This window comes from Homo sapiens, chromosome 1, assembly GCF_000001405.40.
Source record: "Homo sapiens chromosome 1, GRCh38.p14 Primary Assembly".
Classification (NCBI taxonomy): Eukaryota; Metazoa; Chordata; class Mammalia; order Primates; family Hominidae; genus Homo; species Homo sapiens.
The window spans coordinates 60,725,943-60,745,428 of NC_000001.11; the positions used below are offsets into that span (position 1 = coordinate 60,725,943).

The window sequence follows — 19,486 nt, forward strand, 5'->3', positions numbered from 1 at the left end:
CCATCTTTCAGATATTTAAAGACAGGTGCCATGTCCATATCCACTCTGGTCTCTTCTTCAGTTCCTTAGCTATTCCCCCATGACAAGATGTCCCAACATGACCCTCTCTTTCCTGGCCATTGTTAGACAAGCTCTGTTTTGTAAATAACCCTTTGGAATATGGCACCCAGAGTGGAGATGATATCCAGCCACGATGTGATCAACCTGAAATGTCGTAAGATAAGAATTTGGCTTTGACCTTAACACTGTACTTCCACTAACCCAACCAACATTTCTATTAGTTTTTTTTTTTTAATTCCTGCAATAGTTAAAAAGGAAACTACAATAGAATTGTTGCTAAACTCATTGGCACAGTGTACAGCCTGAAAAAGTATTCAGTTATTTTAAGCAAGCTGAAAAAATAAAGAAGTAAATATTCTGTATGAGAATCCAAAGTAGAATCATGGAGCAGAAAGAGTCTATTATACCTCCTTAATGTTGTAGGCAGTCAAGATCACTCTAAATTAGTACCACAGAGAAGATGGATGTTTCCATCTGGGGAAGAAAAGAATCCATTAAAATGACTATGAATAGAAATACTTAGCCAAGAAGAAATAAACTGTGAGTATATTTTAAAGGCAAACTCCATAGTAAAGTTGAGAAGATCTGTAATAACGATGTCAAATATCTTCTTTTAAATCTCATAAATCCTACCACAGGAATAGAGTGGAGTGAGAGCAGATTTATGCCTTTCTACAAAGGCAGAGTCTTCTACCAATACTTGCAGATAACCCAGTGGGCCACCAACAAGTAGTTACTGCAACCTCAGAACTTAGACAATCCCCTTTACAAATTAGAATAGAGTCCTAGAAGACAGATTATATTCTCGGAGCTGTTTTCACAGGACTATTTTCTGGCTCTTTGATTTATTTGCTTAGGTCTGAGTGTCAGAGGCCTGAAAAGTCATCTCTGGATTACAGAGATGAGTTTAGCATGAAAGTCACATTTTGTTTTATAAAAGCAGCTCAAGCATCAGAGTTTGAATGGCTCGGCACCTCTTTAATCAAACCAGGGCTGCTCAGTGCAGGGCTTTGTAAGTGAGCTAATTAGTAATGTGCCAGAGACCTACCTGGTTAATCAAATGATTAATCACTCAGTAGACTTCATTCCTCTTGTTTTCTGGCTGTCTTTGGCTCCTGTATTTGGTGTTTTTGTATTTTTGGGGTAACTAGCATTTTAATAGCTGGCAGCCACCATTCAGGATAAAAAAAAAAGTGACATTGTCTCATTTTAACCATTTTTTGTACGCATAAAAATGAGACAGAGGGGGTTCCTTTCTAGAACAGGTTATATGGCTTGACCAAGAAACATTAAGCCAGTTCTGAGGAAATATGATGTTTGGGTAGAAGAGGATTTGAAGTTCTGTGGAAGGTTTGAGCCTTCCTTTACGTATGCAGGCCTGGTTAGAGAAAAGATTTTTGAAAATCACATGACCATAAATCAGCTGACTTGATTTTTAGGTTTCTTCCTTCTATTTATTTAATATTTTACTCTTTAAAGTAGTTTTAAAGGGAAAAGAAGGCTAGCCATCTTGGCAAATTCTAACATTGAAAATAGGGTTGCATATTTTATAGTTTTGTTGAGAAAATTGATAAAGTAAGTGCTGTAGTTTGGATGTTTGTCCCCTCCAACCTCACATTGAAATTTAATCCCCAGAGTAGTGATGTTAGAAGGTAGGGCCTAATGGAGGTATTTGGGTCCTGAGGGCAAATTCCTCATGGATGGCTTGGTGCCATTCTCACAGTAGTGAGTTAGTTCTTGCTCTGTTAGTTCCCATAAGAGCTGGTTGTTAAAAAGAGCCTGGCACCTCCCCTTTCTCACCTTTGCTTCCTCTCTCACCATGAGATCACTGCACACCCAGCACCCCTTGCCTTCTGCCATAAGTGGAAGCAGCCTGAGCTTCTCACCAGGAGCTGAGCAGATGCCGTTGCCATGTATCTTGTACAGCCCAAAGAGCCAACAGCCAAATAAATTTTTTTTAATTTTATAAACTACCCAGCCTCAAGTGTACCTTTATGGCAACACAAACAAAGACAGTAAGTTAACTTTAAGTTCCATTTTATGTGCTTTCTAGATAAGACATATTAAAAAAGAACAAATGCATTCCTTTAACTGCAATGTTCCAGCTCTGATCATTTCCAGATTAATGATACTCTTAAAGTTTAGTTATCCAAACTGTTAAAGAGCTTAATTATTGTTTTAAAATATAATAATATAATGGACCAATTTCAATTTAATATCTTAAAATCATTGTCCCTCAAAAATACGCAAATGGCTAAGAACTATATTAATCAGTTTCCAGAAAGATGTGCACAATGTCATTACAAGTACCCATGAAAATCTGCCCTCCTGCCCTGTCCATGTGACTCCTCAGCCCGTCTTCATAGCCCTGTGGATCTTCACCATGCACACACACCATAAGAGAAGATCCTCTTATTATCCCAATGGCATGGATGGCAATATAACAACAATTATAAATTTGTTCACAATAATTATTTTGGTTCATTCCTGTATTTGGACTCCAAAGTAAATTGTTTTCCATTGCCACATATGCAAAATTCCTACATTCCCAGTACAGAAAATGTAATCAAATAATACTTGACTTTTTTAAAAGGCTAGTGTAAGCCTGAAAGTAGTTGCAAGTGGCATAAGGGTCAATAGGCTTACATCCTGAAAAGCTGTGGATTCCCTAACCTTCTGGAAACAGCAACATTTCCAGTTGGAATTTCTCTGTTTCTCTCTCTTTTTTTTTTTTTTTTTTTTTTTTTTGAGACAGGGTCTGGCTCTATCACCCAGGCTAAAGTGCAGTGGTGCAATCTCAGCTCACTGCAACCTCTGCCTCCCAGGCTCAAACAACTCTCCCACCTCAGCCTTCCAAGTAGCTGGGGCTACAGGTGCATGCCATCACACCCAGCTAACTTTTGTATTTTTTTTGTAAAGACAGGGTTTCCATGTTGCCAAGGCTGGTCTTGAACTCCTGGGCTCGAGCAATTCATCCATCTCGGCCTCCCAAAGTGCTACAATTGCAGGCATGAGCCACTGAGCCACCTTGCCCAGCCCTAGCTGTAATTTTTCAAGCTGCATGGTTCATCATCTCTTCAAAGTAAGTCCCTGATCTTCTGCTTTAGAGAGCCACTGTTTCTGGTGAGAGGAGGTCAAGCACCTCAGGGATGGGGTGAGAGATGTGTGGTGTGTGAGTGTGCATGGGTGTGTGTGAGTGTGTATGTTTGAGTCAAGGGAGAGGTGAAGGTCAATCAACATTACTGGGTGCCTTAAAAAGCAAACAGAAATTTTAAGGATGGGAGTATCCTTATAACTTCAGGATAAAATGAAAAAACATGGGAGGGTTGAGAATCCAACTGGAGGGATTATATTTCATTTATTCATATTTCAATACTGTCCCAGAATGGTTTCTAGAAACCTATAATGTAGGCAAAAATTAGTTCTTGAGGCAAAGCTTTGATTATAAAAAAAAAAAAAAAAAACTCACAAAATGAAGGATTATAAACAAATACCTCTAAGTTAAAGTACTCTTTAATAACTAGAAAACAGAGTCATCAAAAGAGAATTCAGGATAAAGACTAATTGTTCACCTTATTTCCAAGGCAGCCCATCCAAGTAGAGGTCCTGAGGGGGGAAATGTGGCCATTTCCTGGACCAGGCATATCCTGTGGTCAGGAGCAGTCCTGGAAATATTAAAAAATGTGACATGTTATCAGTTTTTCCTTCTTCAGTTTTACCCATCTCCAATCTGCCTGCCTCCAGAATTATCTTTTTAAAACACAACTCTCTCCTAGTGATCAGTTCAAGCTGCCTTGGACTTGCCACAGTGTTGTCCATGAGATTTCCCTAGTGTCCATCATTCCTTCCCCCACTCTCTCCACTTCTGGATTACATTAACCCAAAACACCACAAATCTTGTAGCATTCTGTTCCCACTGGACTAAAACAGCACCCTCCATCATCTTCAAGATCTCTCCACCAAATAATTTCTGGACTTCCACAGGCAGAATCTTACTCCTTATTCCTGAACAAGTCTACTCATGCAGGCCTCTGCACCTGGACACTAGGTGTCAAGGTGCCCACTGTTCCTCTACAGTACTCAACCAAGCCCTTGTAAACCAAAAATAAAATTCTAAGCCCCCCAACCAATTGAATGGACCTTTCTCTCAGCCAATGGCATTCCAAAGTAAATCTGGAAAACTAGTTCAAGCCATGATGGCAAAGGGGGAGTCAGACTTGCCTCATTATATCCTTCTCCCTTTGGAATTCAGGCATAACTGACCATCATTAACATTAAAATAGAAATCTTAAGACTGACAAAAGACTCTTTGTAACAATGAAATATCAAATTTCAACATGACTCCAGTATAACATTACATGACAGATAGCAGGTCTTCAAAGAAATCGAAGTATTTTACCCCAAAATATACTTAGGTGACATATTTTGAAATGGCCCTGCAAGTCTGTCTCTTGTCAAGGAAATCTACATTCTGGAGAGATTCCCCTTACCTTTCCAGGTCTCTTCCTGATCCAAGAAAGATTAACTTAGAGTCTGGCATGTTTTTAACTCTGACAAGAAACATTTACCATCTACTTTCTCTGAAGCCTACTATCCAGAGGCTTCATCTACATAATAAGAACCTTGGTCTCCACAACTCCTTATCTTAACGCGTATATTCCTTTTTATTGATTCCGGGACTTTAGATAATAGCTTAAATATTTAAACCAATTGCCAACCAGAAAATCTTTGGCCTGGAAGGACACCCCCACTTCACCCTCCACTTCAAGTTGTCCTGCCTTTCGAGACTGAACCAATGCCTACCTTACATGTATTGACTGACATCTGCCTGTAACTTCTGTCCCTCTAAAATGCATAAAATCAAGCTGTAAACTTCTAAACTGATTGAGACTTCTCTCAGATATTTTTTGGTTTATCCCCTAGACCAAGATTCCACAGCAGTTTTACCTCTGCTCTGCCAAGCCTCATGTTCAATGACCCAAAAGTTTTGATGTGCGTAAGCACCAAAAATTTTGGTAATATTCTGACAATTGGAGAAAAACATTTCTATCCCTTTTGTATAAACCTCCAAGAACAGAGAAAGCAGTACCAAACTGTATGCCTCTTATCCCAAAGTTTGCAGATATTTAAACAAAGCAGTTATTTTCATTTCTATATATGGCAACTCTGTGCCGCTTAAGATCCACCCTTTAAAAAAGCCTAAGGCAGGTTAGGAAACAAACCCAAATGGCAGCCAGAGCATAGGTTTTTTCTTGGGAGTCAGCTACCCACTTCTTAAAACCTAAGGCCTCTCAACTGGCTCTCCATACATGCCCAAATGTGTCTATCTGGATCCCACAAGTGGAAGCATTATGACTTCTTTCACAGGAGGATCCTCAATATCCTCCAAAATAGTTCCATCAGATACAAACCTGAAGTTTTCCCAATAGCCTCAAGCATGCCTGGACCTGTAAGCAGACATGGCCCATGCTCAAACTGAAACCCAGCTACACCTTGATTTATGGGTTGGATGGGAGAACATGAGTATCTGCCAAAAAAAGGAAGTATTTGAACCACATTTTGAAGAAAGAGTCAGATTTATGCAAACACTGTGGGGCAACGATTCATGAAGAGGGAACATGACAGAGAAAACAGAATCATGACAGAGGCCAAATATCTAATGACTTCATTTTAATCAAACTTTGTTAAGGTGTCCAGAGAAGGACATACTGACATTCTTTGAGATCATATTGACTTACAGTAACCACTCAATAAATTTTGTTGAATGAATAAATGAACAAATCATTTCACTTTTTTTAAGTGAATTAAATTTGGCTCTGAGTCCCAGCTTGCTACAAACAAGAAGGATTCCATTTCAGTCACTTTTGAAGGGGAATTCCTTCTCTTCCTAGGGTTTTAAAGACAATCAAGGAGGTTGACGTGGTGTCCAAAAAGTGAGAGATTACTCCATCATGTCATCATCTTCCAATTGTCTGTTTTGTGCATGAGGCTACTGGGCGAACTTGTCCTCCCCCATCTAGCAGGTGAGGATGCTTCAGGTGGGCTCAGATGTACTTTCACAGCAGTCCTTTTCACTCAACAGAGGCCTGACTGCAAAACCAATGCCTGCTCGTAAAGCCTCAGTGTCAGCCTCCACAATCCTCTCACAGACACCTCCCCATCTTTGATGCATCAGACACAGAGGTCACGGATCTCCACCACTCATGGAAACACTAAAGATACTACCTAGCCCTGTCTCCACCAGAGAAAAGGAAAACATCTCCTTTCACCTTTGAGTGAACCCCGTTCTATTTCCTGGGCCCACAGCACCTTATAAACCATAGCCCGAATAGAAGTATGTGTGTTTTTTTCCAGGTGCTTTGCAATTTCTGTTTTTAACCCTGATGCATAGAAACTATTAACAATCCCTTAGAAAGAAACTCAAACTCAGAACACAAAGATTACCTCTTTTATTATGGTAAGGAAGAGGAAAACATCTCTTGTCCATTCAGGTCTCTTCAGAGTAGCTAGAACAAAACCCAAAATAAAGTTACAGCATATAATTTTGCCCCATCATCACACTAATCCCCATGATACTGTGCATAACTGCGTCCAAAAAAATTGAATTAAGAGTCAGAAGACTCTACCATCCTGGATGCACTTCAGCACAGTATGGTCCCACTATCTCCATGTAAATTTTGTCCTAGAGACCTCCCAAGACTATCATCTCCATGTAAATTTTGTCCTAGAGACCTCCCAAGACTATCATGGAGATCAAATGAGAAAAGAAATTTTATAAATGCTGGAAGCCAGGGAAAGAGTGCTTGCTAGTGTAGTGTGGACCATGCCAAGAGCCAAGACACATCTAATTAGCTGTGCCTGCTCCCTGTGATTCTGAAAAAATGTCCTCAGAGTTCTAGTAACCTGTCTGACCTTGGAACCAGTGCCCCATCTCCTTGTGGGTTGTTGTCACCATTTCCCCTACAATCCTAGAAGAAGAACAGGCCCTAGTGGTGACCCACAAGAAATGCCAGGGAGAAATGCGATCCTTGGGCCACTGCAGGGCAAGAGAGCAGGTCAATCACCTGCGCAATGTTTGCTGTGGGTCCCGAGGCCTGAAAGGTTGCTTTGTTCAGCCACCAGGTAAGCTGCAAGAGGAAGGTGCTTCTCCAGCCACTGCCACCAAGACCTGCACAAAGCACTTATTCAGAGATCCAGGCCTAGCCATGCCCTCTGATACTGCCTCTGACTTATTGGATTGCCTATACAAAGATCATTTCCCCACCTGCACCCTCCCATTCCTGACCCTGCCACTCAGAGGGCATGGGTAGAATATTACATTCCAGAGAGAAAAGGCAATATTCAGGCTGAAAAAGACCAGGCTGCAGTTGAGGACAATCCTCTTTCACCATAGAGCTCTCAATGTCCCTGCAGACAATAGGCCTCTGTGCGGCCCCATCTTCTTATGCAAGGACAACTTACATGTTTTCATCTTTGGAAACTTCAAACTGCTCAGTCCCCAGGAACAAGGAAATGTCTGTCTAGGAGGGATGAGGAGAGAGGAGGTGAGATTTGTCACTTCAAAATAATCTCCTAGCCAGGTTTGTTTATTCCCATGGGCAATGCCAAATTTTTGCCAGTTTATTCTTTAACTCATTTGAACAGTCAATGTCTACAGAACATCTACCATGAGTTAGGTATCTTGCTAAGATGCCTAGTAATAGATACCTAACTGCAAAGAGAAAAATTAAATAAGACCACCCTACCCTCAAGCAGATAGTGTCCAAGGGTCTCAAAAAGCATTTTGTGAATTGATTTTGTATGGGCATCCTTTTTCCCACTAAATTTTACACCTAATGTTTGATTTTCATTCTGTCCTGGCTCCTGAATCCCTTCTGAGTTATCATTATGTGAGCATAAAGATCAAAATTTTGAGTTTCCCAGGCACTCTTCTACTAGTGGAAATGCAAACTGCCATAACACCTATTGAGGATAATTTGACAACATATTTAAAAACTACATATGTGTTTACCCTTAACCCTAGCAATATTACTTCTGAGATTTAACCCTGAATATACACCTTTAATATATGTGTATTATTACATATACATAGTGTTACCCAGTGCAACACCATTTTTATATGTAAAATATTGGAAAGTACCTAAATATATCCAAGAATAAAAGACTGGTTGAATAAACCATAGTATATATACACAATAGAGTACTATGCTGCTGTTAAAAATGTGATGATCTCTACACACTAATTTGTAGCAATTTCCAGGAGATACTGTTAAGTGCAAAAGCAAAATGCAAAGTAGCATATATAGTATGCTATCTTTTCTGTAAAATATGAGAGAAAATAAGAAAACATAAAAGTCTCTGCTTAATCTTACCCCCTACAAAAGAAAGAAAAGAAACAAGGAAAGGAAAAACAGAAAACAATTAAGTTGGTTACCTACAGAGATGAGGAAACAGGGAGAAAGAGATATGGGCAACAGTGACACTCCTCTAATAATAGAGCTGCTTATAGGGCTTTGGCTTGAAAAGCTGTCAATGTTTTACATATTAAAGAAAATAAAATGTATCCAATAAATATGGGAAGGGCAAAAAAAATTCTGAAAGCAAACCATAAAATTGAACCCAAGTGTGTTTCAAATGAATTGCATAACCTCACTGACCAGAGAAACAGGTAGAGAAGTTTAACAAAAGTCATATGAACACTGCATTCATTTATGCAGGGTAGAGGGTGGGAAACCATACATTCTGAACTCTTTTTAATGAGTTTGTTTTTTGTAGTGGTTTAAGTGAAGCAATTCGAAAACTATTTTATATGTATTATGGAAGTGAGCAAATAAAGAAATGTTTTGATGTTGATGGGATCCAGAGTTTTCAATGTGGAAGAAGGGATGTGTAAATATGGAGTAGAAGAAGGAAATAAAGAATCCTATGAGGGTGGATTGAAATTGGAGGCTATTGTTAGGGATTCAGTTTTTCTAATATATATGTGTTTGTGTGTACCTTTCCTGGTTCTTTCCTAGCTCTGTCTGCTGAAAGGGTCTAGAAGCAAAGACACTCCAGTAGCAATGAGCAGACTTAGCTCCCACATTTTTGTCTCTAATGCCATTCCCCACCAAAAGGAACCAGGGCACCACAGAGAGATAGCTGATTTCAAAGCTGGGGCAAGTTGTGTATAACATGAGTCTGGAAAAACGAGTTGTGCCAGAAAGTAAGGAAATACTCAAAAAGTGGTCGAGAGCACATTACAAGTACATAGGAGCCAGCTTGAAGGGGCTACCACTGACCGAATATGACATGATTTGACCACCAATTAATTAAAGGTGGTGATTAATTATAGAACATTAAAAATAGGAATCCATGGTCCATTTTTATGATAAATCTAGATAGATGATAGATAGATAGATAGATAGATAGATAGATAGATAGATAGATAGATAGATAGATAGATGATAGAGATAGATAGATGATAGATAGATAGATAGATAGATAGATAGATAGATAGATAGATAGATAGATAGATAGATAGACAGAAAGACAGACAAAGAAAAGAAGGCTGTCTTGCTGAGTCCTGACTGGTAAATATAGAAGTTCTGAAGTTGGAAAAAAAAATCATCATTTCGTAACCATCATAGTATAAAACTGGTTCAGACAAAAGAATCATCCATGGATGTTAACTCTATGGGGAAATTTTGATAAGGAGAATGATATGTATTTGCATGACCTTAAAATGTCTCTCTACATTTTGCTAATTGGTAAGAGAAAGAGAGAAATAGTAATTAAACAGTAGAGAAATGAAAAATGACCTTGACTGAGTGATCAAAGTTAACATCACCAATGAGGGGCAGATGGACACCATGTACTTCCAAATGCCATGCCCTGAGAAGGACATCACTTAAGTGGCCTAGAATGCATAAACTGAAGCGAATTATGAGGAAATATGAGATTGCCATCCGGCAAATTAGATACACTCTATTTTAAGCAGGGAGGAGGCTGTATTTTTTTAAATGTCAGTATCATAAAAGAAAAAGAAAGCCTATAGAAATGTTTCAGATTGAAGGAGACTAAAGATACATGACAACTAAAGGCAATACTTAGCCTTTGACTGATCCCATAATGGAGGTAAAAAATGCTATAAAGGATATTATTGAGTCAATTGACAAAACTGGAATAGGGACAGCAGATTACATCAAGGTATTACATCAGCATCTACTGAAATTAATAACCACCTTGCGGTTATGTAAGAAAACACCATTATTTCTAGCAAGTAAACACTGTAATATTTAGGAGAAAAGCTATAATATATGCAACTTACTCTCAAATGGCTCTCCAAAGATGCATGTGTGTGTGTGTGTGTGTGTGTGTGTGTGTGTGTGTGTGCATATGCACGCTCATGTGTGCGTGGAAAAAAGAGAAGAAATGGTAAAGTAAATGGGGCAAAATGTTAACAACAGTAAAATATGGATAAAGGACATATGGCTGTCTTTTGCACTGTTTTTAGTCTGTGATTTTTCTTCAAATTTATTTTCATTTTTTAAAAAATATTTTTGAGTTCTGGCACTCTGAAGATTTAACAAAAGGAAAAAAATGTGGATTTTTTTTTCAGCTGCCGTAAAAAGTAGAAGTAATTCTTTAATAGAAGAAAATTCCCATAGACTTGCATAGAAATTATTTAGGAGTTAATTTTCCCATTATATTGTTCTCCTTTGAGAAGCTTCCAGTGATTTCAAACACTACAGTGATTAAAAACTCAATTGGCTGAAGCCAAAAATCACATTAATAAAATAAAAATCAAACTTAAAATTTAAATAGTCAAAAGGAAGAACATGGAAAACACATGCTTAATTGTTACCTGCAAGTATAGTTAAATTGGAATTATTTGGTCAAACATATTTACAAATGTCACAGAGAGAAAATGACCAATACAATTTTGAGAACTACATAATGGTTTAAATGCTTCAGAAGTATAATTTTTAAAAGTTATTTTAAATGATAAAACATTCAATAACTTTATAGAATCTTTCATTATTAAATAAATGACTGTATTTTTCTCTTAAAAATTTTTTAAAAGCTTTTTTTTCTTAATTTTGAGTTTCTGGTGATTACATTTCAAAAGAGCAATGTGAACCTTATTGCCTCAGACTATCCTCTGGTACATGTCAGCATTTTTCACTGCAGCAGCTCTTGGCCCATTCATGTGTTCTTCCTAAAGCCATTATCTTAAGATTCTGACATGTAAGGGACGCATTCTGGGTGCATACTTCATTGCAGTGCACAGAGGGTAAGGTAAAGGAAGATAAATTGTGTCCTCAATCAGGCTAGCAGTGCTTGGTACTTGGGTCATCTTAAGTTGCTTGGAACAATGATACCTACCACATCATGCACCAGAATTATACCAAGAACTTTATGCATATTATCTCATTTAATCCTCGCAATACTGAGATGGGGCAATAATGTCCTTGGAAAGGAAGTCAACATATAGTGAGTTTGACCTGTGAGAAGTGGCAGAGCCAAGACTAGAATCCAGATTTTCTGGTTCCAAAGCTTGTGCTCTTTCATCTGTATGGTGTATTACCTCCCCAAGAGGTAGAGAAACCAGGGCCAACAGGCCAATCTTACACAATCTCTAGCTCTTAGTTCAGATGCTACAGCCTCTACAAAGTCTTCCTTGAACCCCAGGAAGGTATTGATGCTGCTTTTCTTATTCTCCCATCTCACTTTGCACATACCACCAAAAAAAAAATGATAATCTTGTTGCTTTATTATTTTTGCATGTTTGTTTTACTTTCTGCACTTTGATTTCTTTGAGAATAGAAATTACCTTTTCTTCTCTAGATTCCTAGTGACTATCATAGGGACTAGTTCATAAAATATATTCTATAAATGCTATTGAAGTCATATTGGATTTTAATAAGTATTTATTGAGCCTTTAAAAGAGCTTTACAGCGCTCTCATTTCATTCATACAGAAATTGAGACTTAACTTGAGCCTTAAGTCAACAGCTTGATAAGATTTTGTGCAAAGGCACAAAATCATTAATAGAAAAATTACACCTCATTAATAGAAAAATCATATGTAGAAAGAGAAAGAGAAAATAAGTAGAAAGAGAAAATAATGATGAGCATTTTTTCATGTGTCTCTTGGCTGCATAAATGTCTTCTTTTGAGAAGTGTCTGTTCATATCCTTTGCCCACTTGTTGATGGGGTTGTTTGTTTTTTTCTTGTAAATTTTTTCGAGTTCTTTGTAGATTCTGGATATTAGCCCTTTGTCAGATGAGTAGATTGCAAAAATTTTCTCCCAGAGAAATGCAAATCAAAACCACAATGAGATACCATCTCACACCAGTTAGAATGGCGATCATTAAAAAGTCAGGAAACAACAGGTGCTGGAGAGGATGTGGAGAAACAGGAACACTTTTACACTGTTGGTGGGACTGTAAACTGGTTCAATCTTTGTGGAAGACAGTGTGACGATTCCTCAGGGATCTAGAACTAGAAATACCATTTGACCCAGCCATCCCATTACTGGGTATATACCCAAAGGATTATAAATCATGCTGCTATAAAGACACATGCACACGTATGTTTATTGCAGCACTATTCACAATAGCAAAGACCTGGAACCAGCCCAAATGTCCAACAATAATAGACTGCATTAAGAAAATGTGGCACATGTACACCATGGAATACTATGCAGCCATAAGAAAGGATGAGTTCATGTCCTTTGTAGGGATATGGATGAAGCTGGAAACCATCATTCTCAGCAAACTATCGCAAGGACAAAAAACCAAACATGACATGTTCTCACTCATAGGTGGGAATTGAACAATGAGAACACTTGGACACAGGAAGGGGAACATCACACACCAGGGCCTGTTGTGGGGTGGGGGGGAGGGGGGAAGGATGGCATTGGGAGATATACCTAATGTAAATGACGAGTTGATGGGTGCAGAACACCAACATGGCACATGTATACATAGGTAACAAACCTGCACATTGTGCCCATGTGCCCTAGAACTTAAAGTATAATAATAAAAATAAATAAATAAATAATAATATATAAAAAAGGAGAGAAAATGGATGACCTAATCTACTACAGCTAATCAGGCCAGGCCCAGAGACTTAAACTGAGGTCTACATCCACATGAAGGCAAATGTAGGCAAACTGGGTAGAGCCTGAGAGCAGTATGAAAGTAGATGGTGCTCAATGCCAATGCTGTATAACTGGAGACCAAAGGGACTAGGGGTAATGACAACTTAGGGAGTCATGATGGCTATTTTCAAACACCTTAGTGCATTCAACTTCTCTAGCTGAGCACCAACAGATGAACTTCAGCTAATGTATAGATGTCACCAGCAAGGATTTTGTTTCAATAAAATAAAAAAAAAAACATTCTTTTGTACATATCTCCAAAGATGGAATAAGCTGCTTCAGGTAATAGTGAGCTGTCTGTCATTAGAATTACACAGGCAATGAATGGAAGATCACATGTTAGGAAAGTTTTAGAGTGGATTCTTAAACAGAATAGTAGTCTAGGTTAGGGGCTCCTAAATTCCACTCTTTGGACTGATGTAAAGCTACCACAACAAAATATAAACAAAAGTAGCAAGTTTTTCACAATACTGAATTAATTCAATTTAAACAACTGTCCTTTATTTAAAAATTATGCTTTTTGGCATCACATTTCTTTTTCATAATGAAATGAGAATGACAAGCAAATGCCTTGACTTGGAGGAAAAAAAATAGTTTAACTACTCTGTGTTGGTTGCCAAAATGTCTTTTAAAATTATAGTGACCTATGAGATTCAAAAGTGTATCAGCTAATGGGCCAGATAACCTCTGAGGTTCCTTCTACCCACAAGAGTGAATGACTCTACATCTCACAGACTCTGAAAACTGAGTGCCAGCAACCAGGCCCAGTAGAAATTCACTGGTTGGAGTCATGCATGCCTGGCTTCACATCAGGGTCCAGCTGCTTAGCAGTCAAGAGACTGAGCAAGTTAAGATCTTTGAACCTCAGTTGTTTTATCCTTAAAATAAGAATAAAATTAAAATGCAGCACTGCAGGATCATTGGCTTTGGAGCCCAACACATATAGGCATGTGTGGTAGGTAACCAAAATGGCCACAATTCTTTACATTTCTTCCACCAAGAGGTGTAATTTAATTCTCCATCCTTTATATCTGTGTTGAACTTGTGCTGCTTTTGCAAAAGGTTGTAGCAGAAACAACATTCTGAACCTGAGCCTCAAGTGTCTGCTCACATTTGCTGTTGGTCTTGGAACACTCCCTGTCTTCCATGTAATGAGCTCAGGCTGGCCTGCTAGTTGATGAGGCCCACTCACTCCCACTGCTGCAGTCAAGAGCCAGCAAAAAACCAGAAAGGCCACTCAAGACCAGCCAGTCTCAGGCACGCCTCCATCTGAACACAGATGCAGGAGCAAGCCCAGTTAATATCAACCAAGCCTGACCCAGATCATCAGAAACACCCAACTGGCCCTTAAACTCATGAGTAATAATAAATCGTAGTTATTTGAAGCCACTGCACCTTAGGGTGGTTCATTATTCTGCAAAAGCTAACTGATACATTTTCTTTCCAGAGTTTATATATTTCAAAGTCCTAGCCAAGTGTCCTTGATCAAGTTATTTATAGTGTTTTAGCTTCAATATCCTTACCTGTAAAATAGACGAAAAATTCCTACCTCATAAGTTTATTGTAAGAACCAAGTGATACATTATTAAAATATTTGGCACACAGTGTGTAGCACATATTTAAAAGACATTTAAAATGTCTGTTAAAATTATAGTGACCTATGCAATTCAAGTAGCAAATAACTAATGGTAATAGTGATAGTAGAAATAGTAAAATTATAATGCCTTATAAAACTCAAGTAGTGAACAAATAGTGGTAATAATAGTGATAGTATAAGTAGCAATACTTCCTCCACACTGTTCCTTCCATGTTGATTCCAGCTCTGAGAAATGGCAAGCAAACCTTGTTTGAAATCGCTGTTCATCCTGTGACTAATAAGATGTGTTATGCCAAATTTACTCAGCCAGGGTTTGATTGATTTTATATTCCTGACTTGCAGTCTGAATTATTTAGTAATACTGTACAAGGTGGGTGCTAGGGAGCCCCAGAATTCAGAATTTTCATTCCACTCTTCAGAGAGTTAACAATATAACTGTTTCTAGAGGCAAAGAACCTTAGATGGCCAAGAGGGTGGAGACAGGTAGAGCTAGCTCATTTTGAAGGGTCACTGGGCTGGCATTCTCCCAGGGGCTTTACATATATTATTTACAACAATCTTGGGTTGAGCATTTTCATCCCTGTGTACTGATGAAGAAATTGATTTGAAAAGGTTGGTTAGTGAATTTCTCATGATAGTATAAACAATAAGGGACAGAGCTAGTATTGCACACAGATCAATTATGTTCAGAGCTGTTGATCCCTCCTCTAAAGACTCACTGTCTTCGAAATCATCTAAGACATCTCTCTCATGGTGGCCCCCTCATCACCCCACATCTGTTGCCTTTGCAGTCAATCAGCCCGCATCATGGCTGTCATCTCTCACCTGCATACTTACAGTAGCCTTTTGTCTCCCTGCCTTGCAGGCTCACCCTTTGACAACGGCCCCACTCCTGCCAGAGGGACCCCCATGGCATGTGGGTTATATCAAATTCCCCTTTCAACATTATCCCCCGTCTTTCCTTTACCTACATGATAAAATCAAAACATGGTATGGTTGACTCTGCCTACCTCATCAGCCACAGATTCTAACTCTCCTCCTTCCAGGCCACACTAAGTGACTTTAGCTTCCATGGCCCAGCATGCTTTTCCCTGCTACCACATCATGGTGCATCTTGTGTTCTGTTTTACTTTTCCCAAGGGCTTGACTTTCTGACAAACTCTGACTTGATCTTCAAGTCTCCCTTCAAATGTCAAAACTTTGTAATGTCTTCTCTGAAGTCCCTAAGCAGGTTTAGATCATTTCCACCTTCCCTCTTCTCTCCCAAATAAAGTAATACTCATATTTGTTGCTCTCTCTGTCTTTCCCATAAAATCACAAAGCAGTCATCACCCCAAATTAGTTAGATTATGGTGAAAATGTTTTGAATTCATATCTTGCTAATAAAAAGGGTTATTATAGTGGCCTCTGCTGTTTAGTAATAGGCAAGAAACCAAAATAGAAACCAAGTTAGATTTCACTAAGTAGTTATGAGACTTTGAACTATGGAGACTGTCAGAGCTATAGGTGAACAGATTCCTGATAAACACCTCATTTTTAGATACGATAAAGAATAACTGAAAGCAAATAACCATATTTGAAACTGAGGAAACACTGGCCACAAAAAAAATGAGAGAAAGAGGACAAGGAAAATCTTAATGGAATAAATAGCAAAACCTGCAGAAAGGCTTAGAGAAATCATTTACTTCAATTTTCAGAGGTGCCAAGCACAGAATGCATTTTCCTTATGAGTAAGGAAGAGGAAATTTTGTGAGAAACAAAATCTTTCCAAAGCAGGTGCTAAAGAAATTAAAGCTCACAGAGGATGGACCAAGGCCAGAATTATAATCCACATGGTAAAGAAGGAAAAGGTGTGTGTCTGGGCCAAGAGCAGAAAGGGATTGAAGAGAGACGGAGTAACACGGGCGATACCAAGGGAACCTCCTGGTGTAACCTGTGCTCATTTAAACAAAGGCATATCCCCTTCAGACCTCAGACGGCATTCCAAGGAACACCTACACACTGGAGATGTGGGCCATCCTTCAGTTACTCCACACAGAAATACTAGCATCTATTGTGAATAGTGCCACAATAAACATACATGTGCATGTGTCTTTATAGCAGCATGATTTGTAATCCTTTGGGTATATACCCAGTAATGGGATGGCTGGATCAAATGGTATTTCTAGTTCTAGATCCCTGAGGAATCACCACACTGTCTTCCACAATGGTTGAACTAGTTTACAGTCCCACCAACAGTGTAAAAGTGTTCTTATTTCTCCACATCCTCTCCAGCACCTGTTGTTTCCTGACTTTTTAATGACCGCCTTGGAACCAACCCAAATGTCCAACAATGATAGACTGGATTAAGAAAATGTGGCACATATACACCATGGAATACTAGGCAGCCATAAAAAATGATGAGTTCATGTCCTTTGTAGGGACATGGATGAAGCTGGAAACCATCATTCTCAGCAAACTATCACAAGGACAAAAAACCAAACATGACATGTTCTCACTCATAGGTGGGAATTGAACAATGAGAACACTGGGACACAGGAAGGGGAACATCACACACCGGGGCCTGTTGTGGGGTGGGGGGGAGGGGGGAAGGATGGCATTGGCAGATATACCTAATGTAAATGACGAGTTAATGGGTGCAGCACACCAACATGGCACATGTATGCATATGTAACAAACCTGCACGTTGTGCACATGTACCCTAGAACTGAAAGTATAATAAAAATATATAAAAAAAGAAAGAAAGAAAGAATAGCATCATTTTGTTGCCTGGATCACAGAATTGTAAGGATAATTTAATTACCCTTTCTTCGGTATAAAGATGAGAACGCCCTCAAGCACATTCAAAACTAAAACCACAACATTTATGAGCCTTTCTTGAAGAAGGTACCTAATAACAAAATACAGGAGACCAGTGGTGCTTCAAAATAAAAGAACTCAATAGAAAAGCCATGGTAAAATGGCTGGTAGTGAGCACTAAATGAATTCAAGTGTTGAACAAAGGTTAAACAACTGTGAGAATTATGGTTACAGGATAGAATACAAATGTTATAAATTCCAACAATGTAAAATAATTTTACTAGAAAAACCCAGGTGATGCAAGGAGGGCATGGGGAGACATAAACTAGTATTCTCATATTTCAGAAAAACACTACCATTAATAGATAATAACGAATTTGAAATATTCATTTAAAAAATTTTTTTCTCATCCCCTTCATGTGTTTTTTTTTTCAGTTTTTTTCTTTTTTTTTACTAATGATAATTTTATTTTATTTTATTTTTATTACACTTTAGGTATATGTGCACAACGTACATGTGCCCAACGTGCAGGTTTTTACTGTTTTTCTTAGCCTTTGAGGTACCTTTAAAGAATGACATTCCCTTGTAAAGACACAATCTGAGGTTCAGCAATTCATTCTGTTTCTTCCTTCCATTCAATTCAAGAAAAAATGTTATAATTTAAATGATCTGCATATAAAAAATCCCATCTTTATAAAATTATTTGTACTCAGCTTAATTTGTGTTTTCAAAGACAGGTGTACAAAACAATACTCTATAAAAATCACAATGCTAATCTCTTGGAGGAATAATTTTTTTTTTTTGAAACAGAGTTTCACTCTTGTTGCCCAGGCTAGAGTGCAGTGGCACGATCTCAGCTCACTGCAACCTCCACCTCCTGGGTTCAAGCAATTCTCCTGCCTCAGCCTCCCTAGTAGTTGGGATTATAGGCATGTGCCACCATGCCTGGCTAATTTTGTATCTTTAGTAGAGATGGGGTTTTTCCATGTTGGTCTGGCTGGTCTCAAACTCCTGACCTCAGGTGATCCACCTGCCTCAGCCTCCCAAACTGCTAGGATTACAGATGTGAGCCACTGCACCCAGCCGGGAGGAAGAATTTTAGATGAGATTTTACTTTTTTTCTGTGAACTTTTCACTAGAACCAGATTCTGTGCTGGTTTCTTGATTTTTATTCTTAGCATGTACCATATTTGGGAAAAAAATAGCAAAGATGACATTCTTTTTAAAAAGATTTTCATACAATTTTAAAAAAATAAAATTGATTTTGGCTCCCATAACCACTCTGGTTGGTTTGTGACAGTTGTCTGGAACACCATGTTAAAATGGATTCTGAGCTCCACAGAAAACAATTATCTGATAGATCAGTAAATCTGCCATGGCCGCCAAGAAGGAGTGAGGTCATACAGCCTATATGTATAGACTGTGGTCATACATACAATCATATAGTCAACATTCCAACAGTCTAATAAAAATAAGACTGAAATTTTGTGTATAACAATTAAAGAAGTCAAGTGAGGACAGCTGTCTACATCATTCACTCAATAAAAGTTGACTAATCCAAGACTTACATAGGCTAGATAGTTTACATACATCTAGACAGTACAATTTATAGGCAACCATAAAAAGAGGAAAAATGATGATTGTATTATACTAATCTCTCTATTAGCAAATATATAAAATTGCTATAATATAAAATAGTTAAAAAACAGAAAGTTAGGACCGAATTAATGTAGAACCCTCTGTCATTCTAAGAATAAGTAGTTTTCATTCATAGATACATAAACTATGTGGAAAAAAAGGTCCATACATATCCTTGAGAGAGGCCTTTTCAATAAAATTCTAATTTTATGTTTAATAATTATTTGTCAACATTTATAATGTAT

At 38.2% G+C, this 19,486-nt stretch overlaps 1 long non-coding RNA gene across 1 annotated transcript in view; it reads right to left on the reverse strand.

Moving 5' to 3' along the window:
- Positions 1-19,486, reverse strand: part of LOC101926964 (uncharacterized) — a 165,954-nt gene that overhangs the window by 66,312 nt on the left and 80,156 nt on the right. Inside the window, exons 2-4 of the long non-coding RNA NR_110628.1 lie at positions 7,522-7,580; positions 6,505-6,566; positions 3,633-3,725 (exon numbers count right to left, since the gene is read on the reverse strand). This is a non-coding gene — a long non-coding RNA (uncharacterized LOC101926964). The remainder of the gene's footprint in view (positions 1-3,632; positions 3,726-6,504; positions 6,567-7,521; positions 7,581-19,486) is intronic.